Source organism: Homo sapiens, chromosome 4 (assembly GCF_000001405.40).
Source record: "Homo sapiens chromosome 4, GRCh38.p14 Primary Assembly".
Taxonomy (NCBI): Eukaryota; Metazoa; Chordata; class Mammalia; order Primates; family Hominidae; genus Homo; species Homo sapiens.
This window is the reverse complement of record NC_000004.12, coordinates 150,881,536-150,905,782: the sequence shown is the minus strand read 5'-3', so window position 1 is coordinate 150,905,782 and position 24,247 is coordinate 150,881,536. Positions and strand designations below refer to the sequence as shown.

General features: G+C 35.2%; 1 protein-coding gene across 9 annotated transcripts in view; it reads left to right on the top strand.

Moving 5' to 3' along the window:
- LRBA (LPS responsive beige-like anchor protein) overlaps positions 1 to 24,247 on the top strand; it is a 751,293-nt gene that overhangs the window by 109,945 nt on the left and 617,101 nt on the right. For all 9 annotated transcript variants that reach the window (XM_047416462.1, NM_001367550.1, NM_006726.5 and 6 more), the window contains exons 14-17: positions 5,566 to 5,734; positions 7,965 to 8,044; positions 9,327 to 9,389; positions 12,634 to 12,731. In XM_047416462.1, coding sequence (XP_047272418.1) covers positions 5,566 to 5,734; positions 7,965 to 8,044; positions 9,327 to 9,389; positions 12,634 to 12,731 — 410 coding nt within the window. The remainder of the gene's footprint in view (positions 1 to 5,565; positions 5,735 to 7,964; positions 8,045 to 9,326; positions 9,390 to 12,633; positions 12,732 to 24,247) is intronic.

Below are 24,247 nucleotides of genomic sequence, written 5' to 3'. Positions count from 1 at the left end.
GAGGAGAGTGATAATTAAGAGGATTTTCTTTTTTTTATGTACTATTATGCAAGACTTCAGTGGATTGCTTTTTTTGACTAAGCATCCTTTTTTACTCTTCAGGAAAAATTGCAAATTGTGTGTGTGTGTGTATGAATATATACAAATAATATATACATACATACAAAGAATATATTCTTTGTAAACAATATCATTATTTTAAAAGATACAGGTATAGTCTTTGTTTTCTGAAATTAAATGAAATAAAGTTTTATTTGGGAGAGACTTCATTTACTAAATATAAATCAAAGTTAGACAGTTTTAATGTAATTATTAATGTTTCCTAGTAACTGTAGCTTTGTTCCATTGTAAATATCCATATATATTTTTTCTTTTTTTTTTATTTCTTAAGAACTCACCCTGCTCCTGCTCTCTCTCTTTTTTACTTCACACTTTTGCCTTCCAACATGATGAACTACTGAGTTTCATTCTTATAGGTACCACTGAAATGTCACTTTTTCTTTGAAGGCATGATATACTAGTCTCGTAATCATTTTAATTTCACGTTAATTCAAATTATGAAAACATTTGTACAAATTTTTTTTTTCAGTTTTGTAACAACAAACCAATTAGTTCTATGTGAATGTAAATGAATTTGTGGTAAGGTATATGAACAAAATCTTTAATAAATCCTAGTGTTGTAATACATTGTCCTAAAAATTCAGTAGTGGCAGTATTAAGCATAACTTGAAACAGATCATTTTATTAAATTGCATAATTGTATCCGTCTTATCTACAATTTTTGTTAGAAGTCGTGTTATTTCAAGCCCAGTTTTCCTCTCTCCCCTTCTGCCTTTTGGCCCACTTGCAGTGTTTATCATTGTTTAAGTTGGAATAGCACCTACTTATTCTAGTTGTCAGAAAAAAGTCTGCAGACTTTTTTGCTTTTCTAGAGTCTTAATATTTTATTTTCAGCTGGTCTTTTCAAATGTTAAAGAGAAAAACAGCTGCTGACTCTGATTGCCATTTGGAAATAATCGAAACAGGCAGTTGGAGGTTGTAGCTTTTTATCTCCAGGTCAAATTTGACCTCATTTTCTTCCATGACCCTCAGTCTTACTTCTTTTTGAGGATTGTTTCAAGTTACTTTTAAAATCTTTTACTAGATACTTTTTTGTCTTACTAATCAGCATATTTGTAAGGCTTTGTGTCTCTTTTGATGTGGTCAGAAAGCCTCTTATTAGATACTTAGTTGGAGGGGAATTAAAAAAAATTCATCTTATGATTTTCTTAGTTTCCTAGTATTATTATACTCTATTTCTTATCTTCTACTTTTTAATAACTTTTCTCAATTTCCTTTTTAGAATTTGCAGTTGAGTTGATAATATTAGCATTTTCTCCTGTTTTAGCCATCTGCTTTATGTATCCACAAGGGGTTTTATCTGCTTTTATTTTATTGTAAAGACAGTCATAAAAAAGGGCAGATCCAAATTTTGTTTGACTTGAAGGTCAAATGTTTATCATGTGGGAAATTTTTTAAGAAGAAGAATACAATATAATGCATACAAAATTAGGTTTAGGGTCTTGGAAGAAACATTTATAGATCAGTGGTCATAAAGTTGAAGCTTTATCAGCTTCGTGGTCAATCCACCTCTGGTTAAAAGTTGAAGGTCTGGATGTGTGGATGTGAAAAGCTTTGCTTTTGGAAAAGGGAGCTACCAGCGATTTATAATTTCCATTTATCTTAGATCTGTTCAGAGAACATCTTTTTAATGACCTAGCAGGAGAGATGAATTTTCTTGTCTACCATGGTCCTTCATTTACTCAACAAATATTTGTTGAGTGACTACTTTATGGTGGGCACTGTGGATATGGTGATGAACAAGATAGACTTGATACTTGCCCTCATAGAATTTAGATTTAGTGGGAAAGACAGATGTTAACACACAATTTGTGTGGCTATTGGAGTACATAATGAGTGAATGAGGGAAGGTTTATTCATAATTAGCATATGAGTAATCTTGAGGTCTTTCATTCATCTCTATACGTTGCTACTAAATTCTGTTTACTTATTTTTTTGACGCAGGGTCTCACTGTGTCACTAAGGTGGGATCTCAGCTCACTGTAACTTCTGCCTCCCCAGCTCAGGTGATCCTCCCATCTCAGCCTCCTGAGTAGTTGGGACTGTAGCTGTGTACCACCACACACAGCTAATTTTTGTATTTTTTTGTAGAGATGATGTTTTGCCATGTTGCCCAGGCTGGTCTCGAACTCCTGGGCTCAAGTGATCTACCTGCCTCAGCCCCCCAAGAGTGCTGGGATCACAGGTGTGAGCCATCAGGCCCAGCCTCTGTTCATTTTTCTTTTACCACAGTATCATTCTCAATAGACTGACTTTCTCCAGTTTTCCATTTCTTTGTCTAACTTATAACTATTCTGCCAGAATTCCAACATGTTCTTTTCATGGCCATGGCTCAGTGCGACCTTAAACTCCTGGGCTCAATCAGTCCTCCTGCCTCAGCCTCCTGAGTAGCTGATACTGCAGGTGTGCGCCACCATTCCCAGCTAACTCTTTAAATTTTTTTGTAGAGACTAGGGTCTTGCTTTGTTGTTTAGGCTGGTCTCGAACTTCCGGCCTCAAGCAATCCTCCTCTCTCAGCCCCAGAAAGTGTTGGGATTACAGTCTTGAGCTACCATGCCCAACGCCAATATTTTCCTAACATATGACTCTTATAATTTCTTAGCCCCAGCAGTTTTAATGGTTTCCCATTGTTCTCAGAACGAAGTAGTTAGTCCTTTATCTAAGGATTTCATGTCAATTCTTATTTCTAGATTTTCTAGCTTAAAAATGGAAATATCCTCAGTGGATAGGGAGGTACCAAAAGGTTTCCCTACAGTGGTGGTTCTCAGTCTTGACTGCTGATAGAATCAGTTGGGGTAGGTTTTTAAAAACAAGCAAAAATAGAATCCCACCACTTCCACTGCAGATTCTGATTTCATCAATCTGGTGTTATCCGTGGAGAGTGTCCAGGTTCTTGGTGTCTTGAACAAAGGATTGGACAAAATGCACAAAGCAAGGGAAGAATGAAGGAACAAAAGCAGAAGTTTATTGAAAATGAAAGTACACTCCACACTGTGGGAGCAGGCCTGAGCGTAGGGGCTCAAGAGCCCTGTTACAGAATTTTCTGGGGTTTAAATAACCTTTAGAGGTTTCCATTGGTTGCTTGGTGTATGCCCTATGTAAATGAAGAGGATACAGTAAAGTTACAAAGTCATTTACTCGGTGTATGCCCTATGTAAATGGAGAGGATATTTCCTGTCATAGCTGTAGCATTTCCATTTGATTTAGTTCTAGGAAGTCCTTAGGTTCGCTGCCTCCAGACCCTATTCTCCTGCCTCACTGGGATGGGACTCAGGCATCAGTATTAAAAAAAAAGAAAAGTTTTTCAGTTATTTTAATGTGCAGTCAAGATTGAGAACTGTTGTTCTAACTCTAGGGAAACCTTTATTTCAACCATCATTTTTCTAGCTTGAAATTTCCTCTTGTATTCTGTCTGTCTATTCTACTACTCATCTTCAAAGCCTATCTTAATGCCTACTTTATTAGTGAAGCTTTTCTTTACTATTTCAGTTTATCCTATAATAATTTATCTGTCCTCTGAATTAATAATATTTCATAGCTCTATGTCACTCAATTACATATTGCTTCATGACTTTTTTCATGTTTTGGTAGGCATATTTATTGTCTTTGATTTGTTTTGCTTAAATATAAGTGTTTTTTTAATCTTTTCAACTGTATTTCAGCTACTTAGGGACAGCATATGTGCCACTGTATTTCCATGATACAGTGTTATGCATATAGTTAGATGTAAATATTTGCTAAGAGACTGAAATAACATGGTTAAGAATTTGAGGCATGTCGTATTGTCTCAATGACAAGTGGATTGGGCCTATCAATTTGAACAGCAGTAGCTACATCAAAATAACATTTTGCGGCAGGTCAGTAGATCACAATGTATTGTATGTGTATAGATACATATATGGTTTTGTGAATTATAATGATCTTCCAAGCCCTGCTTTTAAGTGGTTCAGAACCTGCCACTTTTTAGCATGTTAGATTTATTCACTGACACTCTAATTCATTTAGCCTTGATTGTTTATTTGCAGGGCACCTGGAAGATAGGTACCTACTTTTTGCTCTCTAAAGAAATCCCTAGGTGACACTGAGGTACCTTGCAGGTTTGAAAAGGAAAATGCCCTCATTGTCCAGGAAGGTAACATAAAGGTTCAGTTATAAATGATCAGTAGTTTGGTCTATGGTCAAGGGAAGAATATATATCCTATACTTACAGTTGTTCAGCTTATAAAATATACCCTCTAGCAATAAAATGAATTGATTTCAACATGAGAGTAGAGCAAAAGCAGTCGTTATTTTTGCTGCTTTAAGTAATGGATTATAGTTGATGAGTTTCAGACCCATAATTTCACTGAAAAAAAATTTGTTTTTTTTGAGGCAGGGTCTCTGTTGCCCAGGCTGGAGTGCAGTGGTGCTCTCTCGGCTTACTGCACTCTCTACCTCCTGGGTTCAAGCGATTCTCTTGCCTCAGTCTCCTGAGTACCTGGGACTACAGGTGTGTACCATCACGCCCGGCTAATTTTTGTATTTTTTGGTAGAGACGAAGTTTCACGATGTTGGCCAGGCTGGTTTTAAACTCCTGACCTCAAGTGATCTGCCCGCCTCAGCCTCCTAACATGCTGAAATTACAGGCGTGAATCACTGGGGTGGGCCAATTTTTTGTTAAGATGAAATGTGCAGTGGTGGGGTAGCACTTGTATTATTTCTTTCTCTTACATATGAAGAGGAGATATTTCGAAGTTAATATAAACATATATAACTTCTTATGTATTTTTTTAGACTATTTACTTTCAATGAGATTAGTAGAATCCTTTCCTAATTGGGGGACATGATATACATGTTGAGAGATTATAATGTTATGATTAAAATGCTAGATTGGAATGTTTCTTGTAATGAGCTACTGTAATAGAATTCTGTTTTTCTAATATTCTTCAAGGTAAACTCTATATCTTTTTCTGTGGTTTTCTTTCTTTTGGTTTTGTTCTATTTATTTTTTCCTTTTGAGTTACTAGTACTTTTTCTTTTGAGTCATTTTAGCTCCTGATTTTCTGCAAATGTTGTATTTGAAAGAAATTCTAGCTTTTTCAAACAACTATGCATAGATAGCATAAGTAATAAGTCTATTATAAAGAAGTTACACATGCTTAGGAATAATTGCTGATTGCTAAATAGGAATCACAAAGTTATTTTCATGGAATAATGCAGCAAAAAGTTTCCATATTTGATAATGCTGCTATAAAAGAAGAAATTACCTGGTTTGGTTTTATAAGGAGTGTGTGTGCATGTGCTTGTGTGTCAGTGAGTATGTGTTGTCTAATATGGATATTATTATCAGGCTCAGCATCTTACTTTTTGGAAGAAGCGTGGTGAAAATAAAACAGCCTGGAAGTGTTACTGGAAACAGATAAAATGCTGGTGGGGTTCTCTAAGTTCTTCATTTTTATTCTGTAGGTTCAACTGATGCTCTATACTTATCTGTCCACGGAATTCATTGGTACAGTCAACATATATAACACCATTCGGAGAGTTGGAACAGTGCTTCTCATCATGCACACGCTGAAGTACTACTACTGGGCAGTGAATCCTCAGGATCGAAGTGGTATCACCCCAAAAGGATTAGGTATATAATTTCTGTCTGTATATTACTTTACACAAATGCAAATCAGGATTTAATTTTTCTTTTTGTTTTAACCAGTACTATCATATATTTGGGCAGTTTTTCTATATTCCATTATGGCAAAATTTTATTTTAATCTCATTGATAATGTTAATAGTTTGTCCTAAATTGTGGTTTCTAGAGTTTAATAACTTGCTACTTGTGTGGAAGAATACTACTTGTGCTGGTGTGAGTTGTTTGGGGAGCTAATATGACTAGGATGGTTGTTGTAAGACACTGAAAATGCCAAGAAATTCTTAATTAGTTTTTAGTAATTGATGCTGAGATGGATTGTCACAATGAGATTCCTTGAAAATGGTGTTTTGGGAATATGGTGGTTTCTTGCAGAAGTAGGAGTTATCTGCTTCTCTTAAAGAGATAATGAAATTACAAAATGTTAGCAATTATTTTCTTACATAATGAGGACTAACTTGCTGAAAGGGTAATATTCATTCATCATGTCTAGCAGTTCATATAAGGGGTCAAAATAAAACTTTTGACATATAGTGGCTCTTTTGGTTGTAACTATAACAGTCTCCTTGGAACTGGCTTACATCAAAAAGGGAGGTAATCAGCTCATATAAACTGGCAGTTCCAGATACAACTTGATAAAGGTATTCTGAGTATGACCATAGGACTGAATTTGTCTCACTGCACTTGCCAATTCTTCTGTGTTGGCTGTTTTCACATATTCGCTTCCTTTGTAGTAGCAAGCAGCCGGTCCCCTTTCACATCCGTAACAACTTAAATTCAGTGTAAGAGCATCTGCCTATATAATGTATTTCCAGTGAAAGTCTCTTTTAGTCTCTCTGTTGCTCATTGGCTTTGATTGTATCATGTGCCCATTTTTGTGGTTGTAGTTGCCCTGATTGCTTAGAAATGGAGGCATCCCCTAAGTTGAAAGACATTGTCTGAAAGTGAAGATGACTTCAGTCACTTGGTAAAAATTAAGAGCTGTTGCTTGAAATTAAGAAATAGATGCTGGGGAGTCAATAACATACATTCTGATTGCAGTAAGAGGCTTTGGTTGTTTAGTGATTTACAAAGATTTTCAATTTGCATACTACTTTTTATATCACTTTCAAAATAAGCTTGGTTTAGCCTCAGAGAATCTGGTACCTATAATTTAGCAAGCTATGAACTTTTTAAGCTGGCAAGGTTGTGGCAGATCCAGAACCGGGTCAGAATTTTCTCATGACTATTTCATGGTGCTGTAGGTGTATCATGTACTGTCCTAGGTGCTAGTTTTGTATTCTCGCCTGCCTTTTATAACTGATTAGTGACCTTGGGAAAGTCTCATTCTTCAAATGAGAGAGCTGGACAAATTTTGTGATCCTCTTCTAACTCTAGTCTTATTATTTTTTTTTGTCTAGGAATCACATGGAACAAATTTTAAACAATTTTCTTCCTATTTTCATTGATCTGTTCAAAGTCATGGTGGTCCTATGCTTTGGTGGTCTAAGAACTATCTATAAATAGTGATTAGTGGTGGAAAAATTATAAAATATATGAGAAAACAGGTCCCTAACTTAGGATCTTAGAACAATGAGTGTTTGGTTTCAAAAGCTTTCTACTTGGGAATTATATGTTTGAGACATGAAAATTGATTTAATGTGAGCCATGTGTGACCAAGGACTTTTCTAAGCAGAGAAGGAGATGTCAGAGGCAGTTAACATAATATTTCCCTTCTTCATGAATGATATCGTGTAGTGAGGCATTCTTTTTGAGATTTCTGTATTAGCTTATATAATGATAACAGTAGAAAAATTTTGTCATACTGAATTCACATATAATAATAATGTTGAAAGTTTAGATTTTCCTTTGTTTTTTTCTTTGTAAACTTCTGTTACCTTACTAATACTCTCAGAGTCTTAAAATACGTATATTATTATTGAATACAAATTTTATTTGTTACCTCATTTTTATGTTTTGGACATTCTTTGACCTATTCAAAGTACAAACTTCTTCATAGTAGTTTCAACATAACCTGTTTGTATGTTTGAAATATTGTGTATACAGTGCATGTAAGATTAAACACTTGTCTTTCTAGAGGCATAAAAGGTCATTCTGTAGGAGACCTACCTTTATATTTCTTACAAACACATGGAAAAGCTGTTGGGAATGAGAATTTTATACTTTGACAGCTTTGAGGTCCTTTAAATACTAAATGTGTATGTGTATATTTTTTTAAAAGATGGACCGCGACCTAATCAAAAAGAAATGCTTTCTCTACGAGCATTCTTGTTGATGTTCATTAAGCAATTAGTGATGAAGGTGAGTTCACGTTGCTTATTCCATAGCATACCGTGTATTGAAGGTTATAATTTCACATGAAATACAATCTTGGTTTTTTTATTCTTTGCTTGGTTACTGTGGTTACACATTGGAAAATACTTTGAAAGATATTTCCATGTTTGTTTTGGTTCTTTTTTGGAGCCTATATGGATGTAAATTATTGCAGAATTAGGGATTGGTAGTTGTATTTTATGTTATATAAATTTGTATAGTAGCTCAAGTGTGTTCACTCATTCAGCAAATATTTACTATGTTTCTGTTAGTATTTGGCACTAAACTCCTGAAGGAGGTTTCATTTTTAGCAGGCTCCTTGTAACTGACATTCAGATTTTGAGAAATAGTATTTCTGTATAAATGTACCAGGTAGGTGTATGAGCCTTTAGAAGTGGTCACATTTTGTCCCTTTTCATTCTATTACAGGTAAAGTAAAATTTAATATTCTAAAAAAGGCATTTTGGTTTTATAAGATAGCAATATATAAATGTAATTGTTACCAATATTTTTTCAGTATTTTCCTATATGATTTTATAATGCTTTATTAGTTGTCACATAAGATTATGGCAAGTGAACCTAACTTTTAGTATACCTTTCAGATTCAGATACCTTATTTCCATGTATTAAAAAAAGTGTCCTTTGAATTGTCTTTGTTTTGTTGCTCGTTCCTGATGCATACTGTTTTTTGTTTTCCAATTTCTTTTCTTCTTGTGGTGTTTTTTTTTTTTTAGATTGCAGCTTTTTTAGTGATTAATATACTGATAGAGTAGGTTGAAAATTTTCATAACGAGCTCATATTTAGAAGTGCAGTGTGTTTTTCTTTTCCCGAGTGAGATTACTATTTAATTTTTAGGTACTTGACATTTTAACTTGATAATTTCAGAAACTGTTCATTGTATTCTCCACATTTAATTTCAGTCGAAAAGATGTCTTCTGTATTTAGAGGAGTAGTAGGTGTGGATATTACTTTTTAAGTTATCATTACTTATTATTTTTGCTGACTTCAGGATTCTGTAGCTTTAGTAAGTAGGCTGTCATATTATATAAGGTGTTGAAAACAGGAAGCTGATGTTAATTGACCTCTACATGTTCTGGAGTACTGATGTCTTTAGTGCTTCCCCAAATTTTTGTTTTAAATTTAGATTGTCTATTACATTATATTTTTATATTTATAGTAGCTGACCAACTTGACAAATCTATGTGTATAATTTCTCTTTAAACATTTTTTTACATGTAAACGTAAGATACCTGTATTATGTTTTTGAAGGATTCTGGAGTAAAGGAAGATGAATTACAGGCCATTCTTAATTACCTACTGACTATGCATGAGGTAATATATGAATTTTATATTTTGAAATTTTAATTTTTGAAGCTACATTAGACTTTTTTAAAAGTAAAAATTTAAAGAAATCTTCAGTAATTATGTAACTGTAATGGGGAGTAAATGTGTCTACTTAGGAACTAAGCCCTAGCAATCTTTATTTAAATATCCTTTATTACCACAAGATGAATCTTGAGAATCATCATGAAAGGCTTTAAAAAGTACTAACATTAGATTTCATTGAATTAATAATAAAGTATACCAAAGCATACTTTCAGTGTATTTCCAGAAACCAGTGTAACAAATGAAAAAATAGATTACGAAAATGACTAAAAATGATTAGGTTTTAAAAATTCATAACACAATCTTCCTACTGACTTTACATGTTCAGATATTAAACAGCTCATTTATAATGGTATTTAAAATTATGTGTTTGAAAAGGAGGTTGAAAATTAAATAGGTGCTGGAGAGGATGTGGAGAAATAGGAACACTTTTACACTGTTGGTGGGACTGTAAAGTAGTTCAACCATTGTGGAAGTCGGTGTGGCGATTCCTCAGGGATCTAGAACTAGAAATACCATTTGACCCAGCCATCCCATTACTGGGTATATACCCAAAGGATTATAAATCATGCTACCATAAAGACACATGCACACGTATGTTTATTGCGGCACTATTCACAATAGCAAACACTTGGAACCAACCCAAATGTCCAACAGTGATAGACTGGATTAAGAAAATGTGGCACATATACACCATGGAATACTATGCAGCCATAAAAAAGGATGAGTTCATGTCCTTTGTAGGGACATGGATGAAGCTGGAAACCATCATTCTCAGCAAACTATTGCAAGGACAAAAAACCAAACACCACATGTTCTCACTCATAGGTGGGAATTGAACAATGAGAACACATGGACACAGGAAGGGGAACATCACACACCGGGGCCTGTTGTGGGGTGGGGGTAGCGGGGAGGGATAGCATTTGGAGATATACCTAATGTTAAATGACGAGTTAATGGGTGCAGCACACCAACATGGCACATGTATACATATGTAACAAACCTGCACATTGTGCACATGTACCCTAAAACTTGAAGTGTAATTAAAAAAAAATAAAAAGAAAATTAAATAGGTTGAAATATCTGTTTTTATTTTTTAGCACCAGGAAAATGCAATATATGTCAGTTGCAATCTAACTAAATCATCTATTTTTAGTTAGATTTTTACCTATAATTAGTAAAACTTAGGAATTGATGGAATATAATACATCACAGCATTTTAAATGATAATTTATACTCCTATATTATAATTAATACCTTGTGAATTAATAAATATATTTTAGAATGGAGTAGTGCCTTCTTTAATTTTTAAATGAGGGATAATGATTGGATCTCTTTGTTAATTCAGGTATAAAAGAATGGCTTAAATTTTGTGATTGAGTAATATTTGACTTAAAATCATTAATGATTATGATATTTTTTCCTCTTGAATAGGCAATTCTATTAATTTTTAGATTTTTCTGACCAAATATAATATTTGAAGTTTTCAGGTGAATTTCATAGTGATCTATATATGTGATTTTGTTTTTATTAACCCTAAGGGACTGAATAAAGTACTTTATATGAGATAAACTGGAAGTCACAGTGATTCCTTATTGTTAGGAAAGTTTCAGGTCCTCTAAATAACACTTTCAATGATTCAGTGTCCTAGCTCCAGATCATCTGTTTAACTTAATGAAAATTCGGTATACAAGTAGCTTCCACAGCAAAAATTCCAAAGCAGTGAAGGAAAACTAGAGTCAGGGCAACCAAGTTAACTAAACTCTGTTAGCTGTTTGCCTTTTCCTTTTTGGGTCAGTATTGTCCAAGTTGGCTCTAATGATATGCATACATATTGGTATATGCAACAAAGGTAGTGAAGGATTTTCATGAAGTTTTTTTGGGGGTCTAGAACTCGTTTCTTGTGCTGGTATTCTGTAAATGTTATCAAATACTACCACATATTAGTGGTATGTTGACCGAGTAAACATTTATTGGTTATCTTTATCTTTATAGGGACAATAGATAATACCGTATATGAAAATGATCCGGTTATCATTTCCCACAAAGTGTTCTTTTAGAACTAGTTTCTGGAGAGGCACAGTGAATAAAACATTCCAGATCAGATAAGTTTAAGAAATGATACATAATATCTTAGCCCTACCACTACCACCAGATTTGCAACATTTAGTAGCATTTTAGAAGCTCTAATATATTTTTCTGTAATAGAGAATAACCCTTCCCCACAATTTCTTGATATATAAGCCTTCCTTAAAAAAAAGTCATGTTGGATATACTGTTTCTAAAGGTTATGTTTTACAAAATCTTGATTCAATATAACATAAAAGGTATTTTATTTCTTTGATGAAGAAATTGTTTCGAGGCCGGGCGCGGTGGCTCACTCACGCCTGTAATCCCAGCACTTTGGAAGGCCAAGGCGGGTGGATCACGAGGTCAGGAGATCGAGACCATCCTGGCTAATATGGTGAAACCCCGTCTCTAATAAAAATACAAAAAATTAGCCGGGCGTGGTGGTGGCCACCTGTAGTCCCAGCTACTTGGGAAGCTGAGGCAGGAGAATGGCATGAACCCGGGATGCAGAGCTTGCAGTGAGCCGAGATTGTGCCACTGAACTCCAGCCTGGGCGACACAGCAAGACTCTGTCTCAAAAAACAAAAAACAAAAAACAAAAAAACAAAGAAATTGTTTTGAGGTCAGGTGCGGTGGCTCAACTTGTAATCCCAGCACTTTGGGAGGCTGAGGTAGGCAGATCACTTAAGGCCAAGAGTTCGAGACCAGCCTGGCCAACATGGTGAAACCTTGTCTCTACCAAAAATACAAAAATTAGCCAGATGTGGTGGTGCACTCCTGTAGTCCCAGCTACTAGGGAGGCTATGCACAAGAATTGCTTCAACCTGGGAGGCAGAGGTTGCAGTGAGCTGAGATCACACCACTGTGCTCCAGCCTGAGTGAGAGAGCGAGACTCTGCCCCCCCGCACAAAAAAAGAAATTGGTTTGCTATTTTATGTATATTTGGAGTTACAGAGGTGAATGTTTACATTTAAAGAACATAATTTGTTAAAAATAAGTATATATCACACATATGTCTACTTATATTTCTAATGTTGAAATTTCTATTTCAGAAGTATTCATTATTCAACTAAGTTGTTTTTTCCTCATTTTTTAAAAAAAATTTCTAAAATGATTATAGGATGACAATCTAATGGATGTCCTACAGCTGCTTGTTGCATTAATGTCAGAACACCCTAACTCTATGATTCCTGCTTTTGACCAAAGGAATGGGTTACGGTAAGAGTTTTTAATCTATTTCATATAAGGGATTAGTTTGGAAATATTTGAAAGCTTCTTAAATATGAAAAGGATTATTTAAACTTACATATGAAATGAGTTTATAGCATGAAATGAGTTAAGATTTAAGACCCATTTATAATCATGCATTTTTTTTCAATGAATCTTTAATTATAGAGGCTGTGTTACTATTTGTTACTATTTGATTTGTGAAGACAGATAAATGATTCCAATATTTTGTATGGTGAGTGCTATTATAGAGCTACTGTATTGTTGACTTCTTTAGCAGAATTATCTTTAGGTCCTAGATAGTATTAAATAGTGTTCAATTGAAATCCAAGACAAGCTCTCTATCCTTCCTTTAAAATGTCACTTCCTCCACCTCCCACTTCTGACTCAACATTGTATTTGTGTGCTTAGGCTGCCATAATCAAATACCGTAGATTGGATGGCTTACACAACAAAAATTGGTTTCTCACAGTTCTGGAGGTGGGAAGTCTAAGATCAAGATGCCAGTCGGGTTGGTGTTTGGTGAAGACTCTCCTCTTGGGTTGCCTACATCCTCTTCCTTGCTGTGTTGTCATGTAGCAGAGAGAGAAAGAGAGCATGAGTGAGCTCTCTCGTGTCTCTTCTTACAATGACGTTACTCCTATTGGATTAGGGACCCACTCTTAGGACCGCATTTAACCTTAATTACTTCCTTAGAGGCTCCCTCTCCAAATACTAATGATAGGGCTTCAACATAAGAATTTTGGGTGTATGCAAACATTTGGTCCATTACAGTCATCAACAACAAAAACAGAATACCTCTATTTTACGTATAAGGAAGTTTAAAATCTTTTGTTTAATGAGAAAGTGGGCAAGAAAAGTTTAGCAACTAGTTTTGCTTAATCATCAGCTACAGAAACTAATTTAATTATCTAGTTATAATAAATTCACACAGGGATTTTTGTTTGTTTTTGAGACAGTTCTCACTCTGTCACCCAGACTGGAGTGCAGTGGTATGATCACGGGTCACTGCAGCCTTGACCTCCTGGGCTCAAGGGATCCTCCTTCCTCAGTCTCCTGAGTAGCTGGGACTACAGGCGTGTGCCACCATGCCCAGCTTATTTTAAAAGTTTTTTGTAGAGACAAAGTCTCACCATGTTGCCTAGGCTGGTCTTGAACTCCTAGGCTCAAACACACATTGATCTTCTATAACAGATTCTTTATTTGGTATTTTTTAATGTTCATTCTCTATAAGATAAAAAGTGTCTTTATTCATTATACTTAAGGGGTTTATTTTCAGAGTTCTCCAGGGAAACAGAACCAATAGTGTGTGCGTGGGTGTCCATGCACACACTCACGAGAGAGATTTATTTTAAGCAACTGTTTTACACAATTGTGGAAGCTGGCAAATCCAAAATCCATAGGATAGGCAGGCTGACTGGAGACCCAGGGAAGGGTTGATGTTGCAGTTCAAGTCCAAAGGCAGTCTGCTGAGTGAATTTTCTCTTTCTCCAAGGCAGTTAGGCTTTTTTCTGTTAGGCTTTCAGCTGGATAAGGTCCACATACAAAAAATCTGCTTATTTAAATGTTAATCTCATCCAAAAAATACCTTCAAAGAAACATCTAGAAAAATATTTGACCAACTATCTTGATACCATGGCCTAGCCCAGTTGACACATAAAGTTAAGCATTGTAAGAGGTAAATTTACAGTTTGTTATTTATTTATAGTTTTGCTGTCAAACAAAGTACTCTTTATTTTCCCTCACCACTGTCTAATAATTATTACTTTGAACAAGCTTGCTATGAACATTCATGTACAAGTATTTGTATGGACATATGTTTTCATTTATCTTGAGTATATACCATACTTAGGAATGTAATGGATAGGTCGTATGATAGCCATATTAACACAAAACAAACGAGGCTTATAAATACTTGTTTGTTTCTTTGTACACATTTCCTATCTAATAACTGAATTTCAGAAAAAAGATTTAAGGGTTTATGTAAAGGCTTGGCAGATTTTTTTCTTTTTGGTGCCAGAGTATCTAATTTTATAACCTTATTTTCTGTGGATATAACCTGTATTTGTGTGGATGTGCTTTAGTGTATTTTGTGATTTACTGTATAGGATTTTACCACTTTTAAAAAAAAAAATAATTGCAAGATAGTATCATAGACATTTAAAAACTAGTAAGAAGAATTATTCTATTGAAAGTCTGGGCAAGGAAAGTCTATACTTTATACTTTTAGTCTTAGTGTGTGAATTTTTGGTTCACAGTCTTATCTCAGTTTCACTACATGTGAATAACTTCATTGTCCTTGTGACTAACTCATCTTAACATTCACATTTTGTAATTTTTTAATTCCTTAACTTTGCTACCCTTACTGCCATTCTTTGTAATTTATCCATTCCTGTTTTAAAAACCTAGACCTTTTTATCACTGGCATGTTTTCACATCATAAATTTTAAATTCCAATCTTACTCTTTAATCAAAACCATCTATCTCCTCTTTTTCTAATATCGCCCTTTCCAATGCTCTTCAGCCTCATAGTTACCTTCTGTCCTGTGATCTTGCTTTTTTTTAATCCTAGTGTGTCATACTATATCTGCCATTGTTTACTTCCTTCTTAGCCTGGCTATTTGCTGGAAGTGGTTTCTAACAAAAACTCCCGTCTGCCCTTGTCCTGTTAGATTTGCTTTTGAGAATTCTGATCCTAGATTAGTCTAGGTAGGCACACTCTAAGCTAAACCTTGGCTGGTGGGGAAATGTCATGCAGTGTTGTATGTTGAAATTATTATAAATTCATGATCTATACTTCTATCATTGTTAAACATTTCTTTGTTCCTTCAGATACAATTCTAAATTTTTACAACTCTTCCTGTCAGCAGTGACAGCCTCATCTACTTCATTAGACCTATTAGGAGGGAATTATTTCAACTTCCATCTTTTTTCCCCAAAGGTGTATTTTAGAGCACGTTCTTGTTTACTTACTTCTAGTACAGTAGTAGTAGATAAGGTCTTCTTCCCGTTTATGGCTGCCCTTCCATTATTGCTCTCGATCATATTCATTTTTATTTTTTCTATTTTATTTTTATTGCTTTCTTTGGCTGACTCTTCTATAATGATTTGTCTTTATAAATAAAATTTTGTTGTGGCACTGTCATTCTCATTATTTTAAATATTGTCTGTGGTTACTTTCCTGCTATAACCACAGCCACTCTCATTCTCTTAAATATTGCCTATGGTTAGTTTCCTGCTATAACAACAGAGTCAAAGAGTTGTAACAGAGATGATATGGCCCATAAATTCTAAAACAGAGGTCCCCAGCCTTTTTGGCACCAGGGACTGGTTTTGTGGAAGACAGTTTTTCCACAAACTGGGGTTGGGGGTGGTTTCAGGATGATTGAAGTGCATTATATTTATCATTTGATTCTCATAGGGAACATGTAACCTAGATACCTCGTATGCACAGTTTACAATAGGGTTCTACTCCTATGAGAATCTAATGCCACAGCTGATATGACAGGAGGCAGAGCTCAGGCAGTAATGCTTGCTGGCCTGGTGCTCACCGCCTGCTGTGTGGCCTGGTTCCCAACTAATTTTTGTTGGCCAGGATGGTCTCGATCACCTGACCTCATGATCTGCCCGCCTTGGCCTCCTAAAGTGAGGGGATTATAGGCAGGAGCCACTGCACCTGGCCTGAAAGTGTTTTTTTGATGAGATTAACATTTAAGCCATTTATGCCAGAGGTTGCAATTTTTTTTTTTTTTGTGGAAAATCAAATCTTGGCAATGACCTTGAGCAGTAGGATATAAATAACTCCCACAAGCTTAGTGTTCCAATAATGGAACACTAGACATAAATAGGTTAAATTGGTGGACTTTGAGTAAAACAGATTATCCACTGTAATATGTCTGGACCTCATCTAATCAGTTGAAGGCCTTAATAAAACAAAGTCTGACCTGCCCCAGGGATGAAGGAAATTAGGCTGGCTGACTGCCTTTGTACTGAGAATACAGTTCTTTCCTACATCTTCAGCTTGCTGGTCTACTCTTCTGAGTTGAGACATACCAAGCCTCCATAATTGCATGAATAAACTTCTTGAAATCAATCTCTGTCTCTCTCTCTATCTGCACATCCTCTTGGTTCTGTTTCTCTGGAAAAACCTAGCTAATACACACAGAATAGTTGTAGGTTTTATTTATTTTAATCCAGTCTGACAAAGTCAGGTTTTTTACAGTATGTTTAGACCATTTATGTTTAATGTAATTATTGATATTGTAATTATTTTCATCTACCATTTTATTTGTTTTCTATTTATCCCAGTGTAATATATTCCTTGTTTCTCTTTTTCTATGTTGTTTTTATTTGAATTTTAAAAATATTCTCAAAATTTATATTTTGAGTTTGGAGTTTATCTCTTTGTGTAACTTTTTTGGTGGTTGCTCTAGAGATGCCAGTGTATGTAATTTCACAGTCTACCTAGTGTTAATATTTTACCTCTTCAAATAAAGTATAGAACCCTTGGAACTGCTCAGATCCCTTTAACTGCCTCAATTGTCCTTATTATGTCTGTATATACATAAGCGCCTCCAGACAGTTAATAAGTTTTACTTTTACTAGTTATATATAGCTTAAAGTTTTACTTTCACTAGTTATATATAGCTTAAAGAATTGAAGAGAGAAAAAAGTTTCTACTTTTATCCAGGTATTTACAGTTTCTTTTGCTGTTTATTCTTGAAGAACTTCCTTTAGAAGAACTTCTGCTGAAAAAGAACTTGTTGAGCAGTTTTGACAGAAACAATTTTTAATTATTTCTTCTGAAAATATATTTATTTGACCTTCACTCTCCAAGGATATTTTTGTTGTATGTAGAATTCTGTGTTTGTAATCATTTTTTTCCTTTCCTTTTTCCTTACCTTTTTCCTTTCCTTTCTTTCCTGTGTTTTTCTTCTGTTGGCTGGTGTCCATGGTTTCCAATGAGAAATCTGTGGTTATTGAAATCTTTCTTTGTTAAATATAATGTTCTAGATTTCTGCACTTGCTTTCAAGACATTTTCTTTAGGTTTTTGTTTTTTAGAATTGGGGTCTTACTATGTTGCCCAGGAACTCCTGGGCTTAAGCAGTTCTCTTGCCTCAGTCTCCTCAGTAGCTGGGACTACAGGCACACTTGACTGCATCCATCTCTCTCTTCCTCCTTTCATAGGTTCATTATGGTTTTCTTTGTGATTACTACCAAATTTGAGAAGTTGTAGGTTCTTTTTTTTTTCTTTCTTTTTTTTTTTTTTTTTTGAGACGGAGTCGTGCTCTGTTGCCCAGACTGGAGTGCAGTGGCCCGATCTTGGCTCACTGTAAGCTCCGCCTCCTGGGTTCATGCCATTCTCCTGCCTCAGCCTCCTGAGTAGCTGTGACTACAGGCGCCCGCCAGCATGCCTGACTAATTTTTTTGTATTTTTAGTAGAGACAGGGTTTCACCGTATTAGCCAGGATGGTCTCGATCTCCTGACCATCTGCCTGCCTCGGCCTCCCAAAGTGCTGGGATTACAGACGTGAGCCACCACACCCGGCCCGTGAGCCACTGCTCCCGGCCGGTTCTTATTTTTTCAATTTTTGCTTCACTTATATCTTTCTCCTTTCACTTTGGGTCTCCAAAGAAATAAGTATTAGATCTTCTGATAGAGTCAGGCAACTCCTTAAGCATTTGTTTAGTTTGTTTCAGTCTTGTTTTTTTTCAGATTGTAGTTTGTGCATAGAAACTTGATATGTATAATAAACTTGATCTTCAAATTTATGGACTTTTTCTTTGTGTTTTACATTTTGATATTGAACCCATCTCTTGCATATTTTGTTTCAGATAGTATGCATTTCAAGTCTAAAATTTCAATATGGTTCACTTTTATGCTTTCATTTTTGGATGAGAACTCTATTTTCTTTAATATTTTAAATTGACAATAATTGTACATATTATATGCAATATTGTGATATATTAATACATGCATATAACATATAATATTCAAATCAGGGTAGTTAGCATCTCCATCACCTCAAACATTTATTATTTCTTTTTGGAGAACTTTTTCAATTCATTTAGACTTTGTTAACCTTTATTTTCTAAAGCATAATTATAGTATCTCCTTTAAAGTCTTTGTGTGATAAGTCCAACATTTTGCTCATCTCATTGACATCTGTTGTTTGTGTTTTCCTATGAGAAACAGTCACATTTTCTTGGCTCTTTGTATGTTGCGTAATCTTCTAATGTGTCTTGAATATTGTGGGTCCTGGATGCATTAGAGCATAACTCTGGGCCCTGTTATAATCCTCTAACACATGTTTTGTTGTTGTTGTTTAGCAAATAGACAACCTGGTAAGGGTGGGGCTGCAAGTTCCACCTCTTCTCTGTGCATGATGTTTCCAGTGTCCCTTCATTTTTCAAACCTCTCTTACCCTACTTTGGGTTTTCTTTCATTCTTTGGTTTTTCCCCTTCGATCCAGGGAGACAGACTAGTTTGCCTTGTATTTTCCTCACATACATATGCTTCATTCAGGAATTAGGCTGAGAATTGGATGGTAATTAAATTTAGAAAGGTGTCTATTCTGATTTGGGTTTGTCCCACACCCATGCGTCTCTTGGGTGAGTTTGGGGTTATCACAGGTTTTTACACAGATTTAGAGAACCCTTTTCTCTTACTCTCTGCTATTTAGGATTCTTCCCCACACTTCTCCTATCTAGGACCTAATTTCTAGATTTCTCTAACTGGAAGCATAGTTTTTCTTAGAATTTTGCCACCCGAGCTTCTGACATCCAGCCCTGAAACAGGGGCAGATTCAGAAGAGAGAAAGGAAAAAAATGATTCTTCTATCCATATGAGTAATTCTCCAAGTTTTAACTCCCCTACACAATGCACCTGCTTTTGTTTAGTCTTCAGAGTACTTGGGAAGTTGATTTTTGTGTTTTTTTCCCCTATAATTTTATTAATATTTGGGACAGAGAGGCTTTATTGGGCTGACTCCATTTGGTTGGATCAAAATTCCCCTGTTGATTTTAGTTTTCTTCTTAAAGGTTATCTTTTATTAGTGGTTTTACAGTATATTCTTTCATCTTGGTGGGCTTTATTATTTCTTACAAGGCATATTTGCTAGCAATGAATTTTCTCAGTCTTTGTTCATCTCAGAATACTTTTATTTGCTTCCATTTTTAGAGGATACTTATCCTGGATATAAGAACTTAAATTGCAGTTTTCTTTCTGTTAGCACTTGACTGTCATCTCCCTGACCTGTGGACTCCATTGTTTCTGATGAGATGACAGCAATGAATTGCATTGTTGTTGCTCTGTATGTCATCAGTCATTTTTCTCTTGATGCTTTTAAGGTTTTTTTCATTGTCTTTGGATTTCAGCAATTTGACTGTGGTTTGTTTAGTTGTGATTCACTTTTTTTTTTGAGACAGAGTCTCCCTCTGTCACCCAGGATGGAGTACAGTGGCATGGTCTTGGCTCACTACAACCTCTGTCTCCTGGGTTCAGGTGATTCTCGTGCCTCAGCCTCCCAAGTAGCTGGGACTACAGGCATGTACCACTGTGCTCAGCTAATTTTTGTATTTTTAGTAGAGATGGGGTTTCACTGTGTGGGTCAGGCTGGTCTCGAATGCCTGGCCTCAAATTACCCGCCCATCTCAGCCTAAGTGCTGGGATTACAGGCATGAGCCACTGTGCCCGGCCTAGTGGTGACTCACTTTGTTACTTTCACTTCGGTGGTTTATTGAGTTTGAATCTGTAAGTAAATGTTTCGTCATTAAATTTTGGAAGATTTTATCCCTATTTCTTCAGATGTTTCTTTTCTGTGCCTTTTTTTTTTTTTTTTGGAACTCTTGTTACATCTATGTTGGAACACTGTATTGTCCTACAGTGTCTAAAGGTTGAATAATTTGTGTTCCCATTTTTTTCTCTGTTTTTTAGACTATATAATTTATATTGATTTATCTTTGAATTCACAGATTCTTTATTTGCCATCTGAGTCTCCTGTTGAATGCCTATAGTGAATTCCTTGATTTTTAAATGGTACTTTTTTATCTCTAGAATTTCCATTTGGTCTTTTTATACTTTTTTGAGAACTCATTGTTAATCTGTTTCATTCAATTATTTGAACATACTATTTTTTCATTTATTGAATATAATTTATTACAAGTCCTTAAAAATATTTGCTGAATCTAACATTTGGACCTTACAAGTTATTTTTGATTATTGCTCTTTTACTGATTATGGGTTATACTCTTTTTTGTTTTTTTGCATATATAGTAATTTTTGTTGAAAACTGGGCAACTCTAGACTTTTTTTGTTTTTCTATGGTTGTTGGTTTTTGTTTGGTTTTAAATAATTTGCCTCATTTAGTTTGCAGATTGTGTTTTCTCCACGGTCTACAGCTCTGACTTTTCTCTGCCCAGTATTTTTACTTTTTCCCTTTTTCTTTCCATAGCACTCTTAGGGTTTTCCATGTTTCTATATATCTTAGAGTTCAGTCAATGATTTAGCTACAGGTTCTGATAAAATTCCTTCAGCCCTTAGGCCCACTGTGTTGATCTGTATATTTTTAGGGATTGCATTCAAAGTTGTGGCTACTTATCTAGTCTCTCTTGCCTTCCCTTTTTCAGTTAGTGACCCAGGTGTCTCCTGGATATAGGTACTTTCTCAATCAGCTATGTCTGTGTGGAGTACTTATCTCAATCTTTCTATGGTTCTCTTTTAATATCTCCCTAGTAAATATCTAACTGGTCTGCTGTTCCCCCTGAATTGTGCCTGTATCTCTGATCTAGCAAAGCTGCTGGTTTCTCCCATTGATTCGTAACCAAGTCTGCCACTTTTAGCTGGAGAACTGCAGTTTTCATTTCTTACCCTGAATAGGTTTGCCCTGTTTGAAAGCAACAGTGCTACTTTTTACTGCCAGCCCCCAAATGGTAAAACTACAGTTCTTACCAACTAAACTGGGGTGGTAATGACAGGAGTAGTCTCATTAATAAGGCCACTGACTCCTGATATTCTTACCTGAATTTCTAGCAATTTCTCAACAATAAATATTTTTCAGTGAAAATTTTTTTCGGTTTTATTCCTGTCTTTTTTCATGGAGGGAAAATGCTGACTTCCATGTTAGCATCATTATTCCCCCTATTTTGCTTTTATAGTATGTTTTAATTTTTGCTACTTTCTCAGTCTTTTATTTATTACTGTGAAGAAATAAAAAATTTCTAATTTGGACTAGTATATAGAAATGTGAAGATTTAGTCCCATTTAAATTCAGTTCAGTTACTTAAACTGGGTAGAAATATTTATTAAATGTTTATATTAGTTATGTAGTTTAAAATGATTTTTGAATGATGGATAGTTCCCTTCAATCTAATTGGAGTTCTTTGAAAGTATTCTTTGGGTCCAAAAATTCAGTATTTACATTTTTTAAATTATGGATTTTTGTTTTCGATGATTTAAAAAGAGAGATGGTGGAAGGTCGGGGAGAGACAGAAAATTCAAACTAGACATTGATACATAATTTCAGTACCTGTTTATGATTACCTTGGTACTTAGTATACAGTAACATAATTTTTTTGTTTTTTGAGACAGCGTCTCACTCTGTCGCCCAGGCTGGAGTGCAGTGGTGCAATCTCGGCTCACTTCAACCTCCACCTCCCAGGTTCAAGTGATTGTCCTGCCTCAGCCTCCTGAGTAGCTGGTATTACAGGCGCCCACCCCCATGCCTGGCTAATTTTTGTATTTTTAGTAGAGACACGTTTCACCATGTTGCCCAGGCTGGTCTTGATCTCCTGACCTCAAGTGATCTGCCCATCTTGGCCTCCCAAAGTGCTGGGATTACATGCGTGAGCCACCACTCCCGGCCTAGAACCATAATTTTTGAAGGCCACCATGAAAAAAACAGAGGTGAATTAAGAAAAGGTTTCATATTAACTGAAAGTTAAATGGGGGTGTAAGCACAGTCTCAAGTGGAGAAAATTGGAGGGGGGATGGTCTTTATTGGTGACAGATAATATAGGCATGCCAAACTGTGTCATAGTCATCAGTAACATTTCCAAATTGGAATGACAATTTAATTTTCATCAAATGACAGAAATTTTCACATTCAGTTATTTAATATAAATTTTTCTCTACCATGAAATCATTTAAACATTAGCTCTGATATTGAACTTAGGTCAACAGCTTGGAAGACTTATCCTTCCTTAGAAGTGACTGTGTTTTCTGACTCAGTGTCAGTCTCATCATATGCCCTGCTTAAATTGTTATAAATTTTTAATATTTGAGTCTAGTTAATGATCTGTTATCATATTTTTAATATCTGTGAGCAGATTGAAATCATGTTACTATTCAGATTATCTTTTTGGGCGTTTCTCTTGCCTGAATTATATTTTCTGCATTGAAAATATACTGTACATACCATAGTATATTTCAATTCAAAAATATCCATATCTATTTCTTTAAACATGTAAGCATAGTCAAATAGATTGCATGAAAATATTTCCAGATTTGAATATTGTTCTTCATGGGTTATTTTTGTTATCTCCCTTACACTTTTCTTTATTTCCAAATAGAGAATAAACATTTATTTATTGTTTTATGATTAGATAAATATATAAATTTCATTGAAGCACTACAGGATTTTTCCTCCCTTTAATGTGTAAAGTATTTTTTTGTGCATTAAATAAGAACAAAACTATGGTCAAAAAGCAAAATAGGCCCATTTAACTTTTACAAAATTTACTGCTGATGTTTAGCAGATAAACTAGTTTGATTCTGCTTTGGTTAGAAGTGTTCAAAATTTAAAAATTTTTTGTAGGATAACTATTAGGTTCATAGAATAATTTCAGGTTCTTTTGATCTTCTTGTGTTATTAATCCTAATAAAACATTATTTGAAAGTACATAGACAATGTCTAGAGTTTATCTTTTGAAAAAATTATTGTGATTTTTTTTTTTTTGAGACAGAGTTTTGCTCTTGTTGCCCAGGCTGGAGTGCAATGGCTCCATCTCAGCTCACTGCAACTTCTGCCTCTCGGGTTGAAGCGATTCTCCTGCCTCAGCCTCCAGAGTAGCTGGGATTACAGGCATGTGCCACCACACCCAACTAATTTTGTATTTTTAATAGAGACAGGGTTTTGCCATGTTGGTCTGGCTGGTCTCGAGCTCCTGACCTCAGGTGATCCGCCCACCTCGGCCTCCCAAAATGCTGGGATTACAGGTGTGAGCCACCGCGCCCAGCCCTATTGTGATTTTTAACCGTAGATATTTGTGAGTTAAGCTATAGCAAGGATAGTTTTTTGATACGTTAAAATATCTTAGTGTGTTACAGTTTTTATTTTTATTTATTATGTATTTATGTTAATAATTCCCACCTTTATCTTAGATTCAGGGGGTACATGTGCAGGTTTGTTACATGGGTATATTGTATGATGCTGAGGTTTGAGGTATGATTGATCCTGTCACCCAAGTACTGAGTATAGCACTCAATAGTTAAGTTTTTCAACCTTTT